General features: G+C 36.2%; 1 long non-coding RNA gene across 1 annotated transcript in view, besides 1 other annotated feature; it reads right to left on the bottom strand.

The window, feature by feature from the left end:
* The window catches only part of LINC02147 (long intergenic non-protein coding RNA 2147), a 535,702-nt gene that overhangs the window by 269,239 nt on the left and 240,234 nt on the right, over nucleotides 1-26,229 (bottom strand). The window lies entirely within an intron of this gene.
* Nucleotides 22,467-23,084: an enhancer, noted in NCBI's record as "NANOG-H3K27ac hESC enhancer chr5:117309435-117310052 (GRCh37/hg19 assembly coordinates)". NCBI's record gives its function as "activates a minimal SCP1, AML or CMV promoter by ChIP-STARR-seq in naive H9 embryonic stem cells {active_cell/tissue: H9 hESC(naive)}" and the evidence as "EXISTENCE:reporter gene assay evidence [ECO:0000049][PMID:30033119]".

Raw genomic sequence — 26,229 nt, 5'->3', positions numbered from 1 at the left:
TTGTGAACCTTTGGTTTCAATGGGTTTTTAAAAGGTTGATTTGTAGATTTACCTTATTTTTTTTCCTTCTTGCTAGGGTAAGAGTGGTACTTTTCTGCCTTTCGACATCCTAAGGGGACATTGGAATTCTGTTTTAGTCTTATCCATAATTTTTTGTCTGTCAGTGATAAACTCAAGTTGATTTTCAATTTTGAGTGATTGGCACAAAATAGCAGAGTGACAATACATAGGCAATTTATTTTTTTTTTCATTTTATATTATGCTATATAAAGCATAATTTTACCCATCCCACTCTTACATCCATGGCAAGAGTATCAATTCTGAGTACCTTCTATGCAGGCTTTCTTTTGGAGTGGTAATTTTCATTTGGCTGGGCTACAGTTACATGATATTACATCCTTTTATGTAATAAAATGGTGGGAAATGGTTCTTTCTCTCTAAATATTATTTCTTCTATCTGTTGGCTAAGGAAGTCTCTTTTATGTTCTCTTATAAAAGATTTTTCTTAACATATCTTTTGAGTACTTCTCATTTCCTACAAGTTATTACTTCTCTTGACCCAACTTTACTTTGAAAGGAATTCCCTGCATAAACTCTAGAGTACTTTTTTCAGTTTTCAGAGAAATTGTGATTCCTATCTTTCTTGAGCTCTCAGATCGCTTCCTGGGTGAAAAACACCAGTATCTATTTCAAGATCTTTTTTATAAGCCTTCCCCTTTCATTTAAAGTTCTGATTTTTTAATGATAGTGTCAAGTAGGTGCCTGTCAAGACTGACTTTTGTTCTTCACTCTAATCTACCCTGACCTCTCTTGGTTTATAAAAACTTTGTTCAAAATGTTATTTTCTGTGTAATTAAGGCTTTTCTACTCTGGCTTACTTTTTATAAGCTTGTCCCACCTTTCCAGCCTTATTTTTCACTGGTGATGTAGTGGAAATAACTCTGAACTTTGAGACAGGAGACTCAGTTCTAGTCTGAATGTGGCCAGTACTTTTTAAAATTTTTAATTAAAGATATAGTTTCTTTTTACTCCTCCGGTCAGAAGCACTGCCTTATTTCAATCTTGACAAAAAAAATATGTACATACCTATTTTATTTTCCCCTGAATGTCTTTGCAGTATGCTGTTCGGATGTTTTCATTTCAGAAAATCGTTCTTGATTATTAATTTCACTATATTTTTCAGAGAAGAGTAAAAGGTTGATCTGTTCATTTTTAACTAAAAACAAACAAACATATTTTAATGTTTCAGCAATTCTGGTATTGCTAGAATTTTCAATCCAAATCTGCCAGTATCCTTAAAATATTACTTCAGATTTTTATCTGCCAGCAGAGGAATGGTGAAATTCAATTGGTTTTACCAGCATTGTTAAAAAAAAAAAAAAACTAATATAACATGTATGACTCGTACTTTTTATTAAGAAACTTGGACCTACAGAAAAAGCAGTGTTTTGGAGACATTTTTATAGACTTTATGATCTTTTGTATTTTCCTCTTGCTCACCATATATTTGTCTCTCTACCCTTCCTTCATTAAAAAGACTCATTTTTTAGAGCAATTTTAGGTTTATAGAAAAATTAATCAGAAAGCACAGACAGTTCCCATATGCCCCTTCCTCCCACACTTTAGTTGCCCCTAATATTAACATCTGGCATTAGTGTGGTACATTTATTGCAATTGGTGACCCAATATTGATACATTTTTATTAACACATTTCATAGTTTACATTACAGTTCATGCTGTGTTGTGCATTTTATAAGTTTTGACAAATGTGTAATTGCATGTATCTACCATTACAATATCTTATGAATAATTGTTTAACTGCCCTAAAAATATCCTCTGCTCTACGTATTCATCCCTCCCTCCATCCCCCTGAACTGCTAGCCACTATTGATCTTTTCACTGTCTCCAGAGTTTTGTCTTCTTCAGAATGTTATATAGTTAGAATCATATGGTATGTAACCTTTTCAGATTGGCTTTTTTCATTCAGCAATATTAAGATTTCCTCATAAATTTTTGTGATTTAACATCTCATTTCTTTTTATCACTAAATTATATTCTATTGTATGAATGTACCACAGTTTTTTTTATCAATTAACCCATTAGTGGATAAAAATATAATGTTTTGGTTGCATCCCAGTCTCAGCAATTATGAATAAAGTTGCTATAAAAATTCCTCCTTCATTTTTGTAAGTGACAAACAAATCACAGCTTCCTTCAGAATGGTTTCTTACCCACGGTCACTAAGAGCTGCACTCCATTGAGTTGCAGCTGATTGGGTGGAAGACAGCACGTGACCCAAGACGGCCATGCCATCTATTACATTTCTTGCCGAACTGAAGAGTGGCTCATACAGTGGTCCACTCTTAGTGTTCTATACAATAGCCACAGCCTATAATAGATATTGCCAAAACCAGTCAAAATCTCTCTTTTGGAGTTTGAATTCAAAGTATTCAGAAATCAAAAACCAGTTTGTTGGTTTAAAACTTTGCTGGAAAGAGAAATGGATGTATGCTTCCAGAGATAACTATTTAAAGAGGTTGCTAAACTCAGAAGAAGTAACAGAAGAGAAGAGGCAATTAAACTGGAAGACACTTCAGCCAAATGGGAACTTCAGCAGATTTACAGCCTTGTCTGGACTTGTCCAGGAGTAACACTGTAGTGTCAATAGCCTCACTGAAAACAAACTTGGTGGATAGAAAGGACCACATTTAAATATCTCAAGTCTGATATCTACTTGGTAACATGGTAGGAAATTTTTCCTTTAGTTCCTATGTGTGTTAATCTGGAATTCCATTAGTTTTTTTTTTAATTAGCCTTTGAGCTCTTATTAAGAGTATGAAAACAAGAACTGCTGATGCCAATGACTGGTTAAGACTATTAAGAAAATATGAGAGGTAAATCAAAGGAAAAAACAGTGAAAGTAAGGTTATTTCTGTAAAGGAGATACTTTAATATTATAATACTGCTGTTTGTAAAATATATCTCAATTGTCTTTTCTATTTATTTCTGTAAAAAATTTCAAAATAATGGCCAGATGTGGTAGCTCATGCCTGTAATCCCAGCAATTTGGGAGGCCAAGGCGGGCGGATCACTTGAGGTCAGGAGTTCGAGACCAGTCTGGCCAACATAGTGAAACCCTGTCTCTACTAAAAATACAAAAATTAGCTGAACATGGTGGTGCATGACTGTAGTCACAGATACTTGGGAGGCTGAGGCAGGAGAATCTCTTAAACCTGGGAGGTGGAGGTTAGAGTGAGCCGAGATGGCAACAGAGTGATTCTGTCTCAAAAAATATATATATACACACACACATATATATATGTGTACATATATATACGCATATATATGTATGTATATACGCATATATATGTATATATATGCGTATATATGTATGTATGTACGCACATATATGTATATATATGCGTATATATGTGTATATATGTATATATATGTGTGTGTGTGTGTGTATATATAATATTTTTCCAAAAGTATGCCGTTAGCTATTTTTACTTTCCCCCTTACCCCCAAAAGACCCGGTTGTCCTCCCGGAAAAAATTGGTACATAAATCTAATTGAACATAAGCATTTATGTATCTTAATGGACAGAATTGATGTTGATATTTTTCATAGCATAATATAAACAATAGTATAAAGGGAGAAGGAATAAGAAGGCTGCTGCTGCTGTTGCTACTGATGATACTAATGAGGATAATGATAGGGTAGCAGTTCCTAAACCATTATTCTGATACTGGCACAGGAGTCAGTGGTTTACACTAATATTTCCATTTAATTTTTATGATAAATATATGTGAACTTAAGCAAAGAAGGATTAAGTGGTAGTGATTAAGCAGAGTTGAAGTTGGAATAAAAAAAAGTTGATTGTGATACCATACAGACATGGCAGCCGATGAGAAGGCCCAGGCACAATGAAAAACAGAGCATTCGCAGAAGGGAAGGGCAGATAACAAGTGACCAATTCTGTAGATGTACCTCTGTGGGTCCCCCAAGAAAGATGCAAAGTGATGTCTCCATTAGACACAGCTTATTTTCAAGAAAGCCTAGAGAGCTTCTTTCTACTGGCTATTTTTGTGACTATGAAGAAAGTGTACCTTCCCCACTCCACCCTCCCCCACCCCAATCTATTTCTCTACCTGTTATTATAAATGCCAAAATCTAAGGCTGAAAGGATTAAGTTGCACTATGCCTAAGTTCTTTCCTCTCATATATTCCAAATTTCTCAATTATTTCCAATTGTAAGATTTCTCTGACCCCAGGGCTAATGCTTATCAATCAATTATATTAAATTTACTTTATGTAACTTAGGTTGTCTTACTTCTCTTAGATGCCTGCTTAACCACCAGTGCAGCAATTTCAACTTGAAACACAGTACTGAGTAGGTATAAATGGCAAAAGACTGGGTAATTGCAGGTACTGTTTATGAACAGCCTGCAAGAAGTTCATCAAATTTCCAATAACTAATTATAATTGTAGTCATTTTCAGGGGAGAAACTGAAGAGAACTATTTGTCTTCAGAGAAGAAGCTTAAGCGAACCATTTGTCTTCTCGAAACTGCTTATGAAAAAATTTTTCACAAATTTTATTTCTATCAAAGATACAGAAAGTCTGATACTAGAAGAATTCTGACATATGAATCTGTTTATTTTTACATATGTATGATTCCACAGATCGTGTTGCTTATAATTCCTATCTGTTTTAAGTTAACTTGTGTCCTTAACTGAGCAAGGCAATGCAACATTATTTTGTGGGAAATCTCTGGAACTAACCCCATCCCAAAATAATTTCAAGCAATAACGTTAAATGAGGTACAAATTACAGGGAAATGCAGTTTGAAAATGTTGCTAAATGAATAGGAAAAAATATTTGAAGCACCACTAAGAGGTTAAAAATTAAGATTCAAAGATGAAATTTAGAAAGATTTTGAATGTTGCATCAAAGCAAGGATAAAGCAACTCCTACTCCTAGAAAGCCCATGGTTTTGGAGCAGCAATCAAAGCTGTTCTGGAAAAGTTTGAGGGCAGAATGGATGGCCCCCCTGTACTTGAGCTCTCATTTCTGGCTACTGGTTGAGAGAGAAATGGCTGCTGGGGGAAAAAAGAGACTTTAATACTGGCTGCCTAGTGTGACAAACTGTACCCTGAACCCGGAATGCCCATTAGTCCTTCATTCCTACTAAATCCAATGGCAAAAAAAGAGATAAAGTCACACACACATACATAAACAAAACCAACAGAGCCAAAAATGAAGTGAGTGTGCAAAAGCTTTAGTTTTACTTAAAGTGATGATTTTCTGATAATACAACATACGAATTCTGAGGATTTACATGTTGAAATCTCATTTTATAACATTTCCACTCAAGCCATCCCATAAAACTTGCAAACTTGCAATGCTGCATTGAGCTCATTAAATAGTGCCAGTATTTATAAGGATAATTCAAAATACAGTGCTCCTTTGTAAAATTGTCTGTAAGAGAATTAAATTTATACTGATGCAATACATTATACTGTTGTTGAAGTTAACTAGAAGTTCAACAATAGTTATATTAGGAGGGCTGCCAAATAGACAAACATAAAAGTCAGGGAGGTTGACTTGACTGGGAGAGGTTAGCAAGTTTCTGGCAGCTGTCGTTGCTACCTGTCACTTGGTGACTGGAGTATTGATCCTGAGAGTTAGTTCTTCAGGCTCCATCCTGTCATAGATGTTTGTCTTTATTACCTGTTTCATCAGGCAGCTATTTGGTGTGACCACAGTTCTAGTTCTAACAACTGGATTTTAGAATTACAGAGTCTTAGAGTTAACAGGCATTTTGCAGATCACTGACTACTATCCATCATTAATTCATTAACTGAGTCCCTTTTGGAGGATGTAGGACCCACTGCCATGTAGCCTCTGCTAAAATGCCTCGGGGATCAGGAATTCACAACTCAAATTATTAGGGAGGGGGAGGCTTACTTATTAGAAAGACCCTTTTTAGAACTGAAATCGGTTCTCCCTAGGACTAGGTGTGAGCATTTAAAGAGTGGCTAGCAGCTTGTTAAATTTTCAGTTGATCATTAAACGGGAAGTCAAGAGTAGAGTGGTCTTTCTGTCTTCAACACAACTGTCATAGTTTCTGCGGCATGGAGAACTAGATTTAGAAGTCTACTGAATTCAAAATCTGAATCCCATTCATTCCCTCCTGTCTCATCACAACTTTTTCTCTATCAATACCCTGGGTTCACAAGGGAGATATGAACACATACATATGGAAGTAAACACCATGCGTGCATGCGCACACACACACCCCCATCTATGGACAAAATTGCACAAATTAGTCTTAAGGATATTTTGCTCTTAACCCCAAAGCCATCCTCTGTGAGCTGGTTGAATCCTATGAAGGATTCTTTTGCCCATAAAAGGCAGCCAACTTTCTACTGCATGCAGTCCATAAGCATGTATATTATGAAGAGGAAATAGAAGCTGTTCTTTGAAACTGGAAAATAGGTGTGTTTTTTTTTTTCTAAAATTTAACAATTACTCTGTCCAGTGTAGCTATGCAATTCTTAGTTTTCAAGCAAAGCATCCTCCAAGACAAGGGTGGGAAACAGAAAATTTCAGAACAGACCACAGCCTAATAAAGCCTAATTTCTCCATCCAGTCTGGTTGCCTTTGATCCTTCTGCATCTAGTGGCTATGATTCTACAAATTTATCAGGTGTTAGTTTCTCAACTACTCTTTGGGGCTTTCACATCAGATATATATATGTTAAATAGCCAAAGAAAATTACTTAGAGAGGCACTGAAAAATAATGAATTAGTTTTTGGCACAAATCCTTTAGGTCATGCTCAAGTAATTCATTTGAATGCCTTGCCTCACAGCTGAACTTTTTAAGGTAATTTTTGAATTGAGTTACCAATGAACATTATCAAGTAAAAGGGCTTCACTGGGACCTGTTCCATTATAATATTCAATAGAAGTCCCATTTGGCTTTGCAGTTTGCTCTGTGTAACTAAAGTAAGATAATTTTCATGTTGTTCACTAGAACATTTAATTTGAATGAATAATGAATAGTTATCCTTGGAAAACACAAAGAGGACACAATGTCTTTAGTATTGAGTTCAGGGAACCCAATATCTGTGCCCTGAATCTGGATCTTCTTTAGTATTTTGGCGTGTGACCTTTGGCAAGGCATTTTAAATTTAATGAAACTAAATTTATCTATACACTGTAGATAATTTCATGAGAATACTAATTACTCAAGTCATCTGCATGAGACTTGGGGATATAAAAGCTGAGGAGATACAAAGAATTAACTTGAAAGTCATGAGCGCATATACCACAAGTTGGGGCTGTTGCAAAGTTTTACTTTTTCTTGAGTATTATAGTAGAAATCTGTCACATTTTTGGCCAGGCACAGTGGCTCACGCCTGTAATCCCAGCACTTTGGGAGGCCGAGGTGGGTGGATCACGAGGTCAAGAGATCGAGACCATCCTGGCCAACAAGGTGAAACCCCGTCTCTACTAAGAATACAAAAATTAGCTGGGACCCACCTGTAGTCCCAGCTACTAGGGAGGCTGAGGCAGAAGAATCGCTTGAACCCAGGAGAAGGAGGTTGCAGTGAGCTGATATCATGCCACTGGACTCCAGCCTGGCGACAGAGCAAGACTCTGTCTCAAAGAAAAAAAAAAAAAAAGAAGAAGAAGAAGAAAGAAATCTGTCACATTTTTGAGCTTTTCAGCCTCTGAATAACTTTCTTAGTTTGATAAACTCTGCCATATAAGTCGTGGTGGGAAGAAGAGCCCACTTCCCACTACAGAAGCTCAGAAACACAGGTCCTCAGTATTTTAGGCAGAGAAGGCAGCCTCCAGCAACTGAAAGTTGAATCTGCATCTTGTTATATTAATACAAAAGGCAGAGGTGGAGATAATTTGTTTTGGGTACTGTGGGATGTGGAAACTAACTCCAGTTTCTGAGGGTGGAGGTATAGGGGCACCAGAAGCAGGCAGCATTCTGTGTAAGAAATGGTGCCACTGCAGGCCTGTGTCCTGGTGTCTGGTGTCAAGAGGTAGCAGCAGATGTGTCCCCATCACACTGGTCCTATACTGTGTGGTTTTTGAGTGTGGTTCTAGCTGCCTAGAATGTGATTTCTTAGATAGTATAAGCCTGTGAGTTACTCCAGAATATTTTAAATATAAATTACTTTAAATATATTTTAAACTATTTTTAAGTCAGTCAGATTTGGTTTCTTTTGCTTGCAATTAAGAGTCCTAACTGATTCAGTGCTAGAGAAAAAACTGTACATAATCAAAATTAGTCCCTCAAAGGAAAATGAGACATTAATTTTATCTTTTCTCATTTCACTATCCTCATCTTACACGTGCATTCTCCACTCCTCTTCCACACCAATCTCCAAACGGGAAAAGAAATAAAATAATATTCGGTTGCTGAAAAGTGGAAATTAAACTATTCCAAGAGGGATGTCCTACACCCTTAACATACAAAATAAACATTGTTAATTTTAAGTAATTTAATATTTAGAAGTAGTAGGTTTCTCATAATGTAAATATCAGTATAGCATATCTTTCTATATACAACACGGTGGGAGGTCTTTAAGACTGTTCCCTTGAAGGAATAATGTCTTTATTTTGAAGGCTTGGATCAAAGAAAGGGACACTGTTATGATCAATTCACTATATTTTCAATTTTGTTTACTATATAACTTGTGGCTGATTTTAATATTGGTCTGGTATTAACATATTATTTTTCTTTTAGCTTCTTCCCAGAAGCTACTTTTTTAGACTTGCACTACCACTTGATCCCTTGATAATCAGTTGACTCTAATTGTGATACATATTACACGTTATATCAATATACTCTGGTTTCTCTTCAGATCGTATAAATATTTCACCTTTTATATATTACACTTTATGTCAATATATGACACTAATTTTAGTCCCTGATATACTTCATACCAGTTACAAGATATTGTAACATCTTTTCATTGAGAAATCATATTCAGCATGTGTGAAAATTTGTATTTCAGTGCTCTTTCTCTCTGAGACTTAACCAATTTTCATCTACCATTTTCCTTTCTGTGATCTTCTCTTACTCCTCAAAACTCATAAGACTTTAAAGTAAGTGTTGGTGGAGGTGGGGTGGGACAATAAGAACAATAATTTGTAATACTGGCTAACAATGAGTGTCTGTCTACTCTGTGCTAAGTACTGTACAAGCCCCTGCACATACTAGAGTTTGGTTAAGCTTTCCCATTGCCCTGTGAGGCAGGGATTCTTATTCCCATTTCCCATAAATGGTCTGAAATCTAGGAGGATTAAAGGGTTGTTTTTGTTCACACAGTAAGTGAGAAAGCCAGCATCTTGAAATTCCAGACTACAATTTCTGAGCAAAGACTCTTTACATATATTAATAATTATGCTTCATTTTCAGTGTGTGGCCATGAAAGGGGCCTTATTAGCAGTATCTTTAGTGAAGTGGAGGAACCATAGGCAAGGGACTGTGATATTTATCTTTGTAACTCTTGATCCTCAACTATTTGGGATCACAGATATGTCTTAGAATCCGATTAAAATTATAGGTAGATAAGCAGATTAGACAGATAAGATGATAGGGACATTTACGTACAATAGCACATCTCATCGTAATGATCAGTACTTCTAAATAATAATGTTATTGCTGTCAGTGCTAGTCCTTTAATCTGAAACTTTTAATACCATTTAATTTAGTGAGAACAGTGTAGGAAATGTAGTATACTTTCTTATCAACACCATATCCTCTTAATATTTGCAGAATATTATCATTCAGAAACAAGGTCTTCAATTTCTAGAATCAAATATTCTAAGACGACAAAATTTATAGACTTTTAACTGTTATTTTCATTTTTTATTTATTGATTTTTTTTGAGACAGAGTCTCGCTCTGTTGCCCAGGCTGGAGTGCAGTGGCGCAATCTCAGCTCACTGCAACCTCCGCCTCCTGGGTTCAAGTGATTCTCCTGCCTCAACCTCCCAAGTAGCTGGGATTACAGATGCGTGCCACCATACCTGGGTAATTTTTGTATTTTTAGTAGAGACGAGGTTTCACCATGTTGGTCAGGCTGGTCTCAAACTCCTGACCTTGTGATCCACCCACCTCGGCCTCCCAAAGTGCTGAGATTACAGGTGTGAGCCAGCGTTCCCAGCCTTAATTGTTATTTAAAACTATATTCAACACAGTTTAATCTGACAGATGAAACATGAGACAGACTTATTAGCACTAGGTACATGCCCAGTAGTTTAGACATCCTATGTATAGGAGGCTGTGGTATTCCACCCTATCCATCCTTTGGGACCAAGGTACTTACTTTCAGAGCTTCAAGGGATGACAGCTACTGATGACTCACATCTGAGTCCCTCATCAAGACTTGTCTTCAGCCAAAGAGAGTTGCCTTGTCCAGTGTTACATCTGCATCTGATGAGCAGTTGATGCAGAGGTGTTAAAGCCTGGCCACCTTGCCTAGGATTGGGACAGTTCTGAATGGCTCTATCAATTCCAGAGCTCCCTGTAGAATTGGCCAAGGTCTCTGTTTAAACTGAATCACACTTAAATTTCTTCCTCTCCCCAAGCCTTTTTCCCTTACTTCCTTAAAGTTTTTCCCCAAATTACTCTCCAACAACCCTCCTGCCAGCAAGTACCCATATCAAAGTCTGTTTCTCAAGTAACCCAACTCAAGTCACACTAAGACAGGTCTTGACACCATGAATTCTGGGACAACATTCTTTCTGGGCTGTAAGGATCTCTAAGCAATTGCCACCTGGTAATGAAACTTTCTTTCTTTAGTGGCCAGACATGAAGTCTCTATGCCTTAGAAATATTATTGCCTGGTATAACCTAATATTATGCTGCAATTTAAATTTAAATATGTTTTTGATGTAATAGTATATTGGCTTTTCCCTGAATGTTTTATAACGATGTGTGGGTTACTTGTCCCTGGAAAGCCCAAACAATGAGTAACTGATGCACTGAATGCTTTCTTGGTCAATCTTATTGATGCTGCTACAGTCAAACTGTCCATTAAGTTAGTGTGTTCAATGACCAGTTCTCTGGGATAGACTATGGCAACAAGGCACACATTCAGTTAATGCTGTCATTTTGCATTCTCTAAGGTCACCTTAAGAAAGCTATTTCTGGCCAGCGCACTGGCTCACACCTGTAATGCCAGCACTTTGGGAGGCCGAGGTGGGTGGATCACGAGGTCAGAAGTTCAACATCAGCCTGGCCGAGATAGTGAAACCCCATCTTTACTAAAAATACAGAAATTAGCCTGGCATGGTGGCAGGCACCTGTAATCCCAGCTACTTGGGAGGCTAAGACAGAGAATTGATTGAACTCGGGAGGCGGAGGTTGCAGTGAGCCGAGATCATGCCATTACACTCCAGCCTGGGCGACAGAGTGAGACTTCGTCTAAAAAAAGAAAAAAAAAAAAAAAGCCATTTCGACAATGACCAGACAAGGACAGAACCTATGAGGTCATACTAGTCCCTCCTCTCCAAAACTTAGATTAAGGTGGTAAAAACTTAACTTCTTGTTTTAATTGATGGCTATCCTTCTCTTCCTCAGTGAAAGAGAGGACACAGGGATAATTAATGCTTCTGGTGTATTTAAATACACTTTGAATCTTTTTCTCCACATCAAGCTCCTAGTCATGTGGGAAAGTCTAGTTGCAAATCTCGAACTAGAAATGATAATAATCAAACCAATTCAAGAGACGTTTGTATATTGAATTTTTTAATGTTTCCTCTTAAAAGCATCTTATTTCTTGAAAGGAAAATACATAATTAATATGGAAAGTTATAAAGCAAAAAAAAAAAATGTCCCCTCTATTCCACAAGTCCCTCTCACTAAAGGTAACTACTGTTGATACTTTGGCAGAGGGTTAAGGGAGGAACTTGTACGGAACAAAAGCATACATGTATGCGGCATGAGCTCATGTGTGCACACAAACATGCAGGAACTTTCATCAGTCAGTTGCCACTGCAGTATAGATTCCCTCTGTTCAGAGCTCAGGAAAAGGGACTTTGAGGAACTCTCTTTGGTTGTGAGCTTCCCTAGAATGAAGTCACTAGAATCTCAATGTGAGGCTGCCTCAAGCACAGGTGAGTTCACTGAGTAGTTTCTATCTACCTCTCATTCTGTTTGTTTTCACAGTATGTGACTCCAGCCATGAGGAACAAAGCTGTTGCCTGCAGATAAAATGTCACATAAACAAGTTGACAAGGGTAGAAAACATATGGTGAAGTTGGTGCATGTTGTTAAGTGTAGATATCATTTGAAATCATCTTTTTAGTTACTGCACACTTGGCTGTGATGATATGAAACCAAAATATCTGGTTATTCCATTAAAGAGTCAGCCAAAAAAAAAAAATGGGCAACTGATTTAGAATATATCCCATATATGGCCAGGCATGGTGGCTCATGCCTGTAATCCCAGCACTTTGCGGGATGGAGGCAGGTGGATCATCTGAGGTTGGGAGTTCAAGACCAGCCTGGCCAACATGGTGAAACCCCATCTCTACTAAATACAAAAAGAAATTAGCTGGGTGTAGTGGCAGGAGCCTGTAATCCCAGCTACTGGGTAGGCTGAGGCAGGAGACTCGCTTGAACCCAGGAGGCGGAGGTTGCAGTGAGCCGAGATCATGCCACTGCCCTCCAGCCTGGGCAAAAAGAATGAAACTCCGTCTCAAAAAAAAAAAAAAAAAAAAAAAAAAAAAAAATATATATATATATATATATATATATATATATATATATATATCTCATATATTTATGAGTGTGGGGTGAGGGATGGAGACTCCAACTTCTTTGATGATTAAAGGAAAATTCATGGCTGACAAAAATTTACACCTTTACAATTATTTTATGATAATAATAAGCACTAGAGACAAGTAAAAAACAAACAAGAAAAACTAAACTAAATGTATAATTTTATTTATTGTTGGTATGAAATTTTCTTTAGATCCTTCTTTAATGCTCATTTAATCCTTTATTCAAACATTTATTGAGAGCCAACTTTGTGTTAGGCTGAGTTTCAGATATTGGAGATACAGCAGGGGCAGGGGCATGGCAAATTAAGTTCTTGACTTCTAATGCAAACGTTTAGTGAAGTATACAAACTGACTGACTTAAATATTTATTTTTAACTGGTTTATTGAATGGTCTAAACATCATGGACTTTATTTTTCTTAAACCATTGACATTTAAGATGCTTGATTATGAGGCATATTTTGTTCTTTCACTTTTTTTTTTTTTTCTTTGAGACAGAGTATTGCTCTGTTGTCCAGGCTGGAGTGCGGTGGCATGCTCACGGCTCACTGCAACCTCTGCCTCTGGGGTTCAAGCGATTCTCCTGTCTAAGCCTCCTGAGTAGCTGGGATTATAGGTTCACACCACCACGCCCAGATAATTTTTTTTGTATTTTAGTAGAGACAGGGTTTCACCGTGTTGCCTGGGCTGGTCTCAAACTCCTGAGCTCAGGCAATCCACCCACCTCAGCCTCCCAAAGTGCTAGGATTACAGGTGTGAGCCACTGTGCCCTGCCCCACTCTTTTTAAAACCTTCTTTTTATATCTGCTTAATTACTTCTAAGACTAGATTAGCAGAATGAGGGTTTAGAAGAAAAAGTCAAATGTGATACTCCAGCCAGCCACCACTGTGCCTCCTCTAGGACAGAAGCTGACATGAGAGTCTGAGTTAACATCTAGCTCTTGAATCTTGGACAAAAGTCATGTTCTTACAAGAACTCTCTCACTCTGCTTCACTCAGATATAGCTAGATAAGAAAAAACACCCAAGGCAGAGAGAGGAAAAGAGGAAAATTCCTTTCTCCCTTTCTCCAGCTTTTAGCCTTCTGCCAAGACCTGTCATAGGCCAAACCCATGGGAAGTCGCCTGGCAGGGAAGCCTGAGAAATGCTGGGAGGGGCCAGTATCTTCAGGTACAGAGCAGAGCCAGAAGGGAAAGTGTGCATTCGAGGACTGGGGACCAGTTTGCAGGTTGTCACTTCCAGCTTTATTCCTACCTGAATTTAGTCTGGAGAACCAGAAGTGACTGACTTTTAATCATTTATTACTTCTAGGTTCCAAAAAAAATTCCGTTAGAGTCAGAAGAAAACCGAGAATTTTAAGTGATGAAATTGCAAGTCACAGCTTCGGTAGGCGTTAGAATTGCTTTCCCTAGGAAGCTTTGTATGTAGATCCTTAAACAGAAGGCAGCATGTGTCAGAAAACAGAAAGGTAACATACAGCAAACTCTTACAACCCTTGTGTGTTCGTAAAACCCTATGTGTTGCACATTTTTCCTGGAATGTATTTAATTCATGAATAGTTGGTTTTGTTTTTGTATTTTAGGTAAAAGTAAAGCAGAAAAAAAATGACTTCATTTTTTAGCATCCTAGAATTTTTCCTTTTTTTTCTCCGAAGAGTGTTTCTTTTTTTTTTTTTTAATTATTTTTATTTCTTTTAACTTTTATTGTAAATTCAGGGGTACATGTGCAGGTTTGTTATAAGTAAACTTGTGTCATAGGGGTTTGTTGTAAAGATTGTTTGGTCATCCATGTATCATATTAAGCCTAGTACTCATTCGTTATTTTTCCTGATCATCTCCCTCCTCCTACCCTCCATAAAAGCAGTTTTGTTCTTTTTTACTTTGATATCATTTTATTAGTAATTAAGATGAATATACTTAAATATCAGACAGGTCTCTATATGCTAAAATGGAGTCGCCAGTAACATTATAAGATGGAAAAACAGGATTTTTATGTGTTTAGTGGGTTTCATTGCTTTATTGTAATTCAATTCTCTTGAAATAAAATATAGATTTAATTATACATAATTCAAAGAATAGTTACAATTTTAGAATTTTGCATTTATTAAGGCACCACTTTGTATCCTAATGTTTTTCCATTCTACATAGCATTGCTCAAATCAAATAATATTTGTATAATTTAAATTAGATTTATTCTTTGCAGGGTAAAGATATTTCATAAAATTTTATGCTTTCAGGAAAGCTACTTTACCCTGCCTTCCTCTGTAAATATTAAGCAAAATCATTTCTAAGTCATCCTAATCAGATTAAAATGGATTATTTAAATCATCAGAGGTATAGATGTCAAACTTGTCATGGTTTTCCATTTTGATTTAAAAATCCTCATTGGACAGATGTCTAATCATCTTACTTTACATTTCTAGACATTTCTGTTTTACTCCCCAGGAAAGACAACTATTTTTCTATGTGGAGATTCCTCACATACTTTTCAGATTTTTCTGCATTTGGCCCACAGACTGTAGCTCATTTAGTCATTTATTAAAAGGTTATGTTAAAATTCAAGTCATGCTGCTTATGTAATTCAAGCCCCACTCACTTTTCCATCTTAAGAGTAAAGGAAAACCAACTTTCATTGAAAATGTTCATTTTGCAGATCAGTTAAATAATCTTTAAGCAACGGAATTTTGGGTCCTAGTTTAGCTGCTGAGGGTACAAAAATGTAACATACAGTTACTTTGCTCAAGGTGTTCATGATAGTTTTGAAATAATTTGGGCACCTTGTTTGATATGTTAACTTTAGTATCCAAAATTCTAATTTTCACCATTAATCATAATTTATTCACATTGTTGTGCCAGCATAACCACCATCTACCATATAGCCACATAACCATTTTCATCATATTAAAATGAAACTTGACCTACTAAACAATAACTTTCTATTCTCTTTGACTCTCCAGCCCCTGGCAACCATCATTTTACTATCTGTCTTTATGAATTTACCTATGTACCTCATATGAGTAGAATTACACAGTATTTGTCCTTTGTGACTACTTTATTTCACATAACATGATGTCCTCAAGTTTCATTTATGTTGTAGCATGTGTCAGAATTCTCCTCCTTTTTAAATTTGAATATTCTGTTGTATGGATATAGCACATTTTGCTTATTCGTTCAGTTTTTTTTTTTTTTTTTTTTTTTTAACTTTTGAGACAGAGTCTCACTGTCACCCAGGCTGGAGTGCAGTGGCACGATCTTGGCTTACTGCAACCTCTGCCTCCCCGGTTCAAGTGATTCTCCCACCTCAGCTTCCCGAGTAGCTGGGACCACAGGTGTGCACCACCAAGCCCATTATCCATTCAGCTTTTAATAGCCACTTAGGTTGCTTCTACGTTTGGCTATTGTGAATAATGTTGCTGTGAACATAGATGTGCAAATATCAATTTGAGTCCTTGCTTTAATTGTTTTAGGGACATATCCAGAAATGAAATTTCTAGATTATACAGTACTTATACTTTTAATTTTTTGAGAAACTGCAATACCATTTACCATTAGTGGATGCATAATTTTACATTCTTACCAACAGTGCATACGGGTTCCAATTTCTCCACATCCTCACCAACACTTGTTATTTTCTGTGTTTTTGATAGTAGCCATTCTAATTGGTGTGAGGTAGTGTCAGTTGTAGCTTTGATTTGTATTTCCTTACTGACTAGTGATGTTGAACATCTTTTCATGTGCTTGTATATCTTCTTTGGAAAAATGTCTATTCACATTCCTTGTCCATTTTTTAATTGTGTTCCATTTGCTTACTTGTTGAGTTGTAAGTCTAAGAAATTTAAGTTAATTAATTATTTAAGCTAACATTTATTGAGCACTATTTATATAACAAGTGTTAATTATATTGAGGCAGTTTTATTAGAAATTTTATTTCTACATGGCATATGGAAATTCACTTCATTCTGGCTTATATTCAGCTAATGTAACTCGTCCTATGTTGTTAGAGTCAAAACAGTGAAAGAATTACTTCTATGAGACAAAAGAGAATCTTAGAATTTTTCCTTGTAATTGATTAAGGCACCATCTAGAAACCTTATGGTGCTCTAGTGTTTTAAGTTTACTGTTTAATTGTACTGGATAAATTACAGTAAGAATAAATTACTTCTTTACATAGAGCAATTTTCAAGCAATATCCCCTCAAGCTTGTAATAGAAGAATTCAGTATTTATATGGGATTATAAACTATCTAGGCATCTGCTGATGATCATTTTTGGAGTCAATTGAGTTATTGGAGAAACAGAATAATGGAGAAAATCGTCTTCCAAATGTGATACTTAAAACCTGATAAAAGAGGTCTTAATTAAAAGTAAATGGTCAAATAGCTTTCAAATTTCCTTCTTGTTTTATAATTTTGCAATAATATACAATGTAAAGTTTTCTTAGTTTTCTCTGTGCTAGTTTGCATTTTTGCCTTTTCTTTGTAATCAGAGTTAACTTGTCATCAGTTTAAAATAGGTGGTTTTAAGATTTTACTTGCAAGCCTCATAGTAACCACAAAAAAATCCTATAACAGGTACACAGAAAATAAAAAGAATTTTTTTAAAATACCAGAGAAAAACACCTTTATACAGGGGAAAACAGAAAGGAAGAAAGAAAAAGAGGACCAACAAAACAATCAGAACACAAATTAAAAAATGGTGGCAGTAAATCCTTACTTATCAATAATAACATTGGAAAATGGACTCCAAGACACATAGTGAGGCTGAAAACCCAACTATAAGTTGAAACCCCAACTATAAGTTGCATACAAGAAACTAACTTCAGTTATAAAGACACAGACTGAAAAGAAAGGGACTGAAAAGCTATTTCATGTAAATGGAAAACAAAAACAAAATGAGTAGGAGTAGCTGTACTTATATTAGAAAAGATAGATCTCAAGACAAAAATTGTAAAAAAAAAAAACTAAAAAGAAAATGAGCACAAGTAGCTATACTAACATTAGATAAAATAGATTTCAAGACAAAAACTGTAAAAAAGGGGTCATTATATAATATTAAAAAGATCAATGCAGCAAGAGGACATAACAGTAGTAAATATATATGCACCCAACATTGGAGCATCCAGATATATAAAGCAAATATTATTAGAGCTAAAGAGAAGGATAGACACCAATACAGTAATAGCCAGGAACTTCAACACCCCACTTTCAGCATTGGACCAATTATCCAGACAGAAAATCGAAAGAGAAACATCAAACCTAATCTGCACTATAGAACAAATAGGCCTAATAAATGTTTGCAAAGAATTTCACCAAATATCTGTGGAATACATTCTTCTCTGTAGCACATGAAACATTTTTTAGAATAGACCATATATTAGGCCACAAAATCAGTCTCAAACAATTTGAAATCACATTACTGTTTCAGGCCGCATGGTATAAAATTAAATATTTATAGCAAGAGGAACTTTGGAAATAATACGAACACATGGTATGCTCCTGAATGACCATCAGGTCAATGAAGAAATTAAAAAGAAAATTTTTAAATTTCGTGAAACAAATGAAAATGGAAACACAACATACCAAAACCGATGTAATAGAGCAAAAAAAAAAAAGTCCTACTAGGGAAGTAAATAGCAACTAACACCTACATCAAAAAAGTAGAAAACTTTAAAATAAACACCCAAAGATGCATCTTGAAGAACTAGAAAGGCAAGAGCTACTCAAACACCCCCCAAATAGAAGGAAATAATAAAGATTAGAGCAAAAATAAATGAAATTGAAACCAAAAAAATACAAAATATCAATAAATGAAAAGTTGGTTTTTAGAAAAGATAAACAAAATCTACAAAACTTTAGCCAGATTAATTAGAAAAGACAGATCAAAATAAATAAAATCAGAGATAAAAAAGGAGACATTACAACTGATACCACAGAAATTCAAAAAATTATTAGAGATTATTATGAGCAACTATATGCCAATAAATCAGGAAACATAGAAGGAATGGTTACATTTCTAGACATATAAAACCTACCAAGATTAAACCATGAAAAAAATCTGCAACGTGAATAGACCAAAAACAATGACAGTAAAGCAAAAATAAAATGTCTGCTGTAAAAGAAAAGTCCAGGACCTGATGGTTTCACTGCTGAATTCTACCAAACATTTGAAATATAGCTAATACCAATCCTACTCAAACTATTTCAGAAAATCAAGGCTGAAGAAATACTTCCAAACTCAATCCACATGGCCAATTTATTAACCTGGTACCAAAAGCAGATAAAAACACAAGGTAAAAAGAAAACCACAGGCCAGTATCTTTTATGAATATAGATGCAAAACTCCTCACAAAGTACTAGTAAACTGAATTCAACAACACAATAAAAAGATCATTCATGATGATCAAGTGGGATTAATCCCAGGGATGCCAAGATGGTTAAACTTATGCAAATCAATAAATGTGATACATCTGTATCAAAAGAATAAAGAAAAAAACCCTATTATTATTACAACTGATGTCAAAAACAAAGCATTTGATACAATTCCACACAGCTTTATGAAAAAAACCCTCAATAAACTGAGTATAGAAGGAATGCAATAAAAGCCATATATGAAAAACCCACAGCTAGTGTCATATTTTATGGAGAAAAATGAAATCTTTAAGATCCGGAACAAGCTAAGGATACCCACCTTCACCACTTTTGTTCAACGTACTATGGGTTTCCTAGCCAGAGCAATTAGAACAAAAAAATAAAGGGCATCCAAATTGGAAAGGAAGTCAAATTATCTTATTTGCATACATATTTTATGTTTAAAAAACCTAAAGACTCTAGCAGAATACAATGAAAACATATATTCGGTAAAGTTTCAGGATACAAAATCAACATACAAAAATCAGTAGCATTTCTGTATGACAAGAGTGAACAATCTGAAAAGTAAACCAACAAAGTAATTCCATTCATATTTGCTACAAACAAAATAGAATACCTAGAAATAAACTAAACCAAAGATGTGAAAGATCCCTACAATGAAACTACAAAACATTGATGAAAGAAATTGAAGAGGACACAAAAATACGTAAAGATATTCCATGTCATGGATTGGAAGACTCACTATTGTTAACATATTCTTATTGCTCAAAGCAATTTGCAGATTCATTGCAATTACTATCAAAACACCAATTACATTCTTCACAGACATAGAAAAAAAACACTAAAATTGATATGGGACCACAAAAGACCCTAAACACCCAAAGCTGTGCTAAGCAAAGAGAACAAAACCAGAGGAACCACATTATTCAACTTAAAATTATGCTACAAAGCTATTGTAACCAAATCAACATGATGCTGGTATAAAAACAGACACATGGACTAATGAAATAGAAAACTCAGAAATAAATTTGCATATTTACAGGCAACTCATTTTTGACAAAGATGTCAAGAACGTAATACATTAGGGAAAGGACAGCTTCTTCAATAAATGGGAAAATTGGATATCCATTTTCAGAAGAATGAAACCAGACTCCTATCTCTTGCCATATACAAAAATCATATCAAAATGGATTAAAGACTTAAATCTAAGACCTGAAACTATGAAACTATTAGCAGAAAACCTTAGGGAAACTCTAGGACATTGTTCTGGGCAAAGATTTATTGAGTTAGATCTCTAATGCATAGTCAACCGAAGCAAAAAGGGGCAAAAAAGATCACATTAAGCCAAAAGCTTTCTGCACAGCAAAGGGAACTATCAACAAAGTGAAGAGACAGCCCACAGAGAGTGAGAAAATATTTGCAAACTACCCATTTGACAAGGAATATATAAGGCTATAAGAATATACAAAGAGCTCAAACAACTCTATAGGAAAAATGTAATTCAGTTTAAAAATTGGCCTCCATCCTGGGAAGCATAGCAAGACCCTATTGCTAAAAAATAAAGCAAATTAGCTGGGCTTGGTGGTGTGTCCTTGTAGTCCTAGCTACTAGAGAGGCTGAGGTGAGAGGATCACTTGAGCCCAGGAGTTCAAGGTTACAGTGAGATATAATGACATCACTGCACTGCAACCTGAGTAAGATCCTGTCTCTAAAAATAAAAAGCTTAAAAAAATTAGTAGGGCCAAAGATCTTAATAGACATTTCCCAAAAGACATACAAACAGCCAACGGGTATATGGAAAAATGTTCAACATAATTAATCATCAGAGAAATAAAAATCAAAACTTAAAATGGCTTTAATCTAAAAAATGGGCAATAATGAATGCTGGAAAGGATGTGGATAAAGAGGAATCTTACACACTGTTGGTGAGAATTTAGGTAGTACAGTCACTATGAAGAATGGTATGGAGGGTTCTCAAAAAGCTAAAAATAGAATGAAAAAATGGTCAAGAAATTCCACAGCTGGGTGTTTGTTCAAAAGTAAGGGAATCGATATATTGAAGAGATATCTGCATTTTCATGTTTATTGCATTACTATTATAGCCAAGATAGGAAATCAATCTAACTGTCCAACAACTTAAAATAAATGTGGGTAAAGAAAACATGGTACATATACACAATGGATTATTATTTAGCCATAAAAAAGAAAATCCTGTCATTTGCAACAACATGGATGAAACTGCAGGTCATTATAAGTGAAATGATCCAGGCACAGAAAGACAGATACCACAGGTTCTAATGCACATGTGGGAGCTAAAACAAAAGAATTGAACTCATGGAGACAGAAAGTAGAATGATGGTTATCAGAGGCGGGGAAGGGTAATGGGGGGATGAAGATAAAGTGGGGATGGGTAATGGGTACAAAAATATAGTTTGAATGAATAAGATATAGTATTCAGTAGTGCAATAGGATGGCTATAGTTAACAATATTTTATTGTGTATTTTAAAATAACTAAAAGAGTGAAATTGCAATATTCCTGATAGAAAAAAATGATAAATGGTTAAGATGATTGTGATACAGTTTGGATATTTGCCCCTACTCAAATCCTTGTTTAATTATAATTTTCAGTGCTGGAGGTGGGCCTGGTGGGAGGTGTTTGGGTCATGGAGGCAGATCCCTCATGACTGGGTGCTGTCTTCATAATAGTGAGTTCTTGTGAGATCTGGTCATTTAGAAATGTGTGGCACCTTTCCTTCACTCTCTCTCTTGTTCCTCCTTTTGCCACATGATGTGCCTGTTCCCCGTTTGCCTTCTACCATGATTGTAAACTTCCTGAGGCCTCCAAGCAGATATCAGCACCAAGCTTCCTGTAAAGCCTGCAGAACTGTAGGCCAGTTAAACGTCTTTTCTTCATAAATTGCTCAGTCTCTGGAATTTCTTAATAGCAATGAAAAAATGGCCTAACACAGAAAACTGGTACCAAGGAGTGAGGCATTGCTCAAAAGATATCTGAAAATGTGGACGCAGCTTTGAAACTGGGTAATGGGCAGAGGCTGGAAGTCTGGAAGGCTCAGAAAAAGACAAAGTGAGGGAAAGTTTGGAATTTCTTACAGTCTGCTTAAATGGTTGTAATCAAAATGCTGATAGTAATATGGACAGTGAAATCCAGGTTCATCAGGTCTCAGATGGAAATGAGTAACTTACTGGGTGCTGTATCAAAGGTCACCCATGTTTATACCTTAGCAAAGAACTTGGCTACATTGTGTCCATGCCCCACAGACCTGTGGAAATTTGAACTTGAGAGTGATGACCTAGAAAATTTGATGGAAGAAATTCAAAGCAGCAAAGCATCCAAGATATGGCCTGGCCACTTCTAACAGCATATGCTCAAATGTGGCAGTAAATGACCTAAAGTTAGAACTTATATTTAAAACGGAAGTTGAGTAAAAAAGTGTGGAAAATTTGCAGCCTGGACATGTGACCGAGAAGAAAAAAAAAGCTTTTTCTTTTTGGGAGAAAAATTCAAGGAGGCTGTGGAGCAACCACTTGCTAGAGATATTTGCATAACTATAAGGGAGCCAAGTGCTAATAGCCAAGACAAGGGTAGGGGAGTGGTGGGGGCATGCCTTAAAGGTATTTCAGAGACCTTTTCAGTAGCCCCTCCCATCACAGGCCCAGAGGCCTATGAGAGAAGGCTGGTTTCATGGCCTAGGGCCCTGCTGCCCTGTGCAGTTTCTGAACACTGCTCCCCACATCTGGCCACTCCATCTCTAGCTGTTGTTCAAAGGGGCCCAGGTACAGCTTGAGTTGCCACTTTGGAGAATGCAAGCCATAAGCCTTGGAAGCTTCCACATGGTGTTTAGCCTGCAGGCATGCATGCAGAGTGCAAAAGTGAAGGCTCTGACTAGACTTCAGATGATGTATGAGAAAGCCTGGGTGCCCAGGCAGAAGCCTGCTGCAGGGGTGGAGCCCTCACAGAGAACCTCTATTAGAACAACGTGGAGGGGAAATGTGAGGTTGGAGTCTCCACACAGAATTCCAACTAGGGCAGTGCCTAGTGGAGCTGTGGGAACTTCAGACCCCAGAATGGTACAGCAATCAGCAACTTGCAATCTCAGTGTGGAAAAGACACAGGAGTAAAGCTTCCCAAGGCCATAGGGGCCCGCCTCTTGCACCAGTGTGCCCTGGATACAGGATATGAAGTCAAGGGAGATTATTTTGGAGTTTTCAGATTTAATGATTGGCCTACTGGGTTCCAAACTTGCTCCTAGTCTATAACCCCTTTCTTTTGGCTGATTTCTTCCTTTTGGAATAGTAATATTCACCCATTGCCTATAACCCCATTGAATCTTGGAAGTCAATAACTTGTTTTTGATTTTACAGGCTCATAGGTAGAAGGAACTTGCCTTGTCCCAGATGAGACTTTGGACTTTGGACTTTTGAATTAACACTGGAATGAGTTAAGACTTTGAGGGACTGCTGGGAAGGTATGATTATATTTTGCAATGTGAGAAGGACACAAGATTTGGAAGGCGCCAGGGGCAGAATGATATAGCTTCAATATTTGTCATCACCCAAATCTCATGTTGAATTATAATCCCCAGTGCTGGAGATGGGGTCTGGTGGAAGGTGTTTGGGTCACTGGGGCAAATCCCCCATGGCTTGATGCTGTTTTCATGATAGTAAGTTATTGTGAGATCTTGTCATTTAAAAATGTGTGACACTTACTCCCCTTACTCTCTCTTACTCCTACTTTCACCATGTGATGTGCCTGCTCTCCCTTCACATTCTGTTATAATTTTAAGCTTCCTGAGGCCTTGTGGAATCCAAGCAGCTATTGGTACCAGGATTCCTGTAAAGCCTGCAGAACCGTGAGGCTATTAATCCTATTTCTTTATAAATTATCCAGTCTCAGATGTTTCACTACAGCAATTTAAGAACAGCCTAATAGAGATGGATACCCCAGTTACCTGGATTTAATCATTACACATTGTGTGCCTTTATCAAAACACCACAAGCCCAGCCTGGACAACATGGCAAAACGCTGTTTTTAGAAAAAAAATTAAAAAAGAAAAGAAAAATAGCCAAGCATGGTGGTGTGTACCTGTAGCGCTAGCTACTTAGGAGGCTGAGAGATAGGAGGATAACTGGAGCCTGGGAGGTCAAGGCTGCAGTGAGCTGTAATCACACCACTTCACTCCAGCCTGGGCAATAGAGTGAGACATGTGTATTAAAGAAATTTACAGTTACTTCAGAAAAATATACGACTATTATGTACCTATAATAAATTTTAAAAATCTGAAAAATGTAAATACAGGCAAAAAGAATGGCAATGAGTAAAATTTCTCTATTGGGAAGAAAATAACATACAGAGTATTAATTATAGTTCATTATATTTTTGATATAATTTTTAGCTCTTTCTTTTCTTTAAAATTAGGAAAAAGAAGCTGTAATTTATTTTAATTGTGAAATTGTGTCTTGGAAATATTTCAGTCATCTAGTCCATTAGTTTTCAAAACTCAGTGCTCACATGTTCACCTGGAGGACTTATTTAAAATGTGAATATCTACCATCAGAGATTTTGATTCAACATATTTTGGTCTAAGTCCTAAGAACGTGAAGTTTTAGCAAGCCTCCTGCAGGATTCTGATGTAGCCTGACCAGGAAGAGCATTTGGGGTAATAATTAGTCTACCTTCTTAACATACAGGATTACAACAACGAGTTCTAACAATGAGTTCTTGGCTAAGATCACAGCAATAGTCAGTGACTAAGCTTGGATGTGATCCTAGTTTATCTTATTCCAAAACCATTAACAAATTGTCAATTTTCAGATAATTAAAGTACATAACAATCAGGCTATACTGACATCATTTTAATTTTTTTTTCATTTTTGAAAAGAAACTTTAGAATCTTTCAGAGATGCAGCTTTGTCAGTATGAACTTTGATTCTCATTATTAGTCACAGATTCTAGAAATTGAGCTACACAGGATCAAAATTAAATCCATACTCAACTGTGTAAAGCTCCTTTATTTAAAACATGTGCAATAGGCATATTTTTAAAACTTTGCATTTATTTTCTTAAAAGCATTAAGTACTCCATGTTAGAGACATTTGTGCTGATTTGGATACTACATATATTCACATTTGTGTTTGCAATTGCTGTTAGTATGGCATTGTGGTTAAGGTTTGGGCTCTAGAGTCAGATTTCCTGGGATGAAATCCTGGCTCCAGTACTTACAGACTCTGTGACTTGGGCAACTTTCCTCTTTTCTGAGTCTTGGTCTCATTTGTAAAATGCGTATATTGATAACATATCTGAGAGAACTAAATTAACATATCTGAGAGAATTAAAGCAGATGATTGATATAAATAATTTGAATAGTGCTAGGAGATTATATAAAACAAAATAAATGTTAACTAAATTTTCCTGAGTCACTTTAGAACTTACATGTGTGTTCATGGGTGACAAATCCCTTTATGCTTGAATATCATGCCTGGAAGTTGTAACATGTTACACTTCACCTTATTTGAGGTGAGTGGAAAAATTATTGTGGATGTAGTGTTTGAAATGCAAAAACAAAAAATAAGAAATAAAATAGTATTTCTGAAAGACATGTGGAATGAAGGAAAGGAAATTTGTTTCCTGAATAACATTTTTCCTTCTTGACATTGGTAGAGTCCATCATAGGTACTAAACGCGATTACTCTAGAAAGAATCCTCCTTTTCCCCCACAGACAATTTGTATGTACAATTCCCAATTGATAATTAAGTATTTTGGGCGCTTGGACTCCTTGGCTTTCTTATACAGCATCTACCAGATTCACTTAGATAGAGTAATTGGCAATTAAATTGAAGGTGGAACTTTAATTACCTGAGCCCTTATTCTAATATGTCTGAAAATAGTAGGTGAACAGCTGCTTTAGAAAATACTCTTCCAACTACTTACATCCCATCTTACCTCAAAGTTCTGAAAACCCATGAGAACTATCAACATACGCTAGTTTGCGATTCAAATGCTTTTCACATGCTTTAGTGTAACTGAC

The sequence above is a fragment of the Homo sapiens genome, chromosome 5 (assembly GCF_000001405.40).
Source record: "Homo sapiens chromosome 5, GRCh38.p14 Primary Assembly".
Lineage (NCBI taxonomy): Eukaryota > Metazoa > Chordata > Mammalia > Primates > Hominidae > Homo > Homo sapiens.
This window is presented reverse-complemented; position numbering and strand designations above follow the sequence as displayed.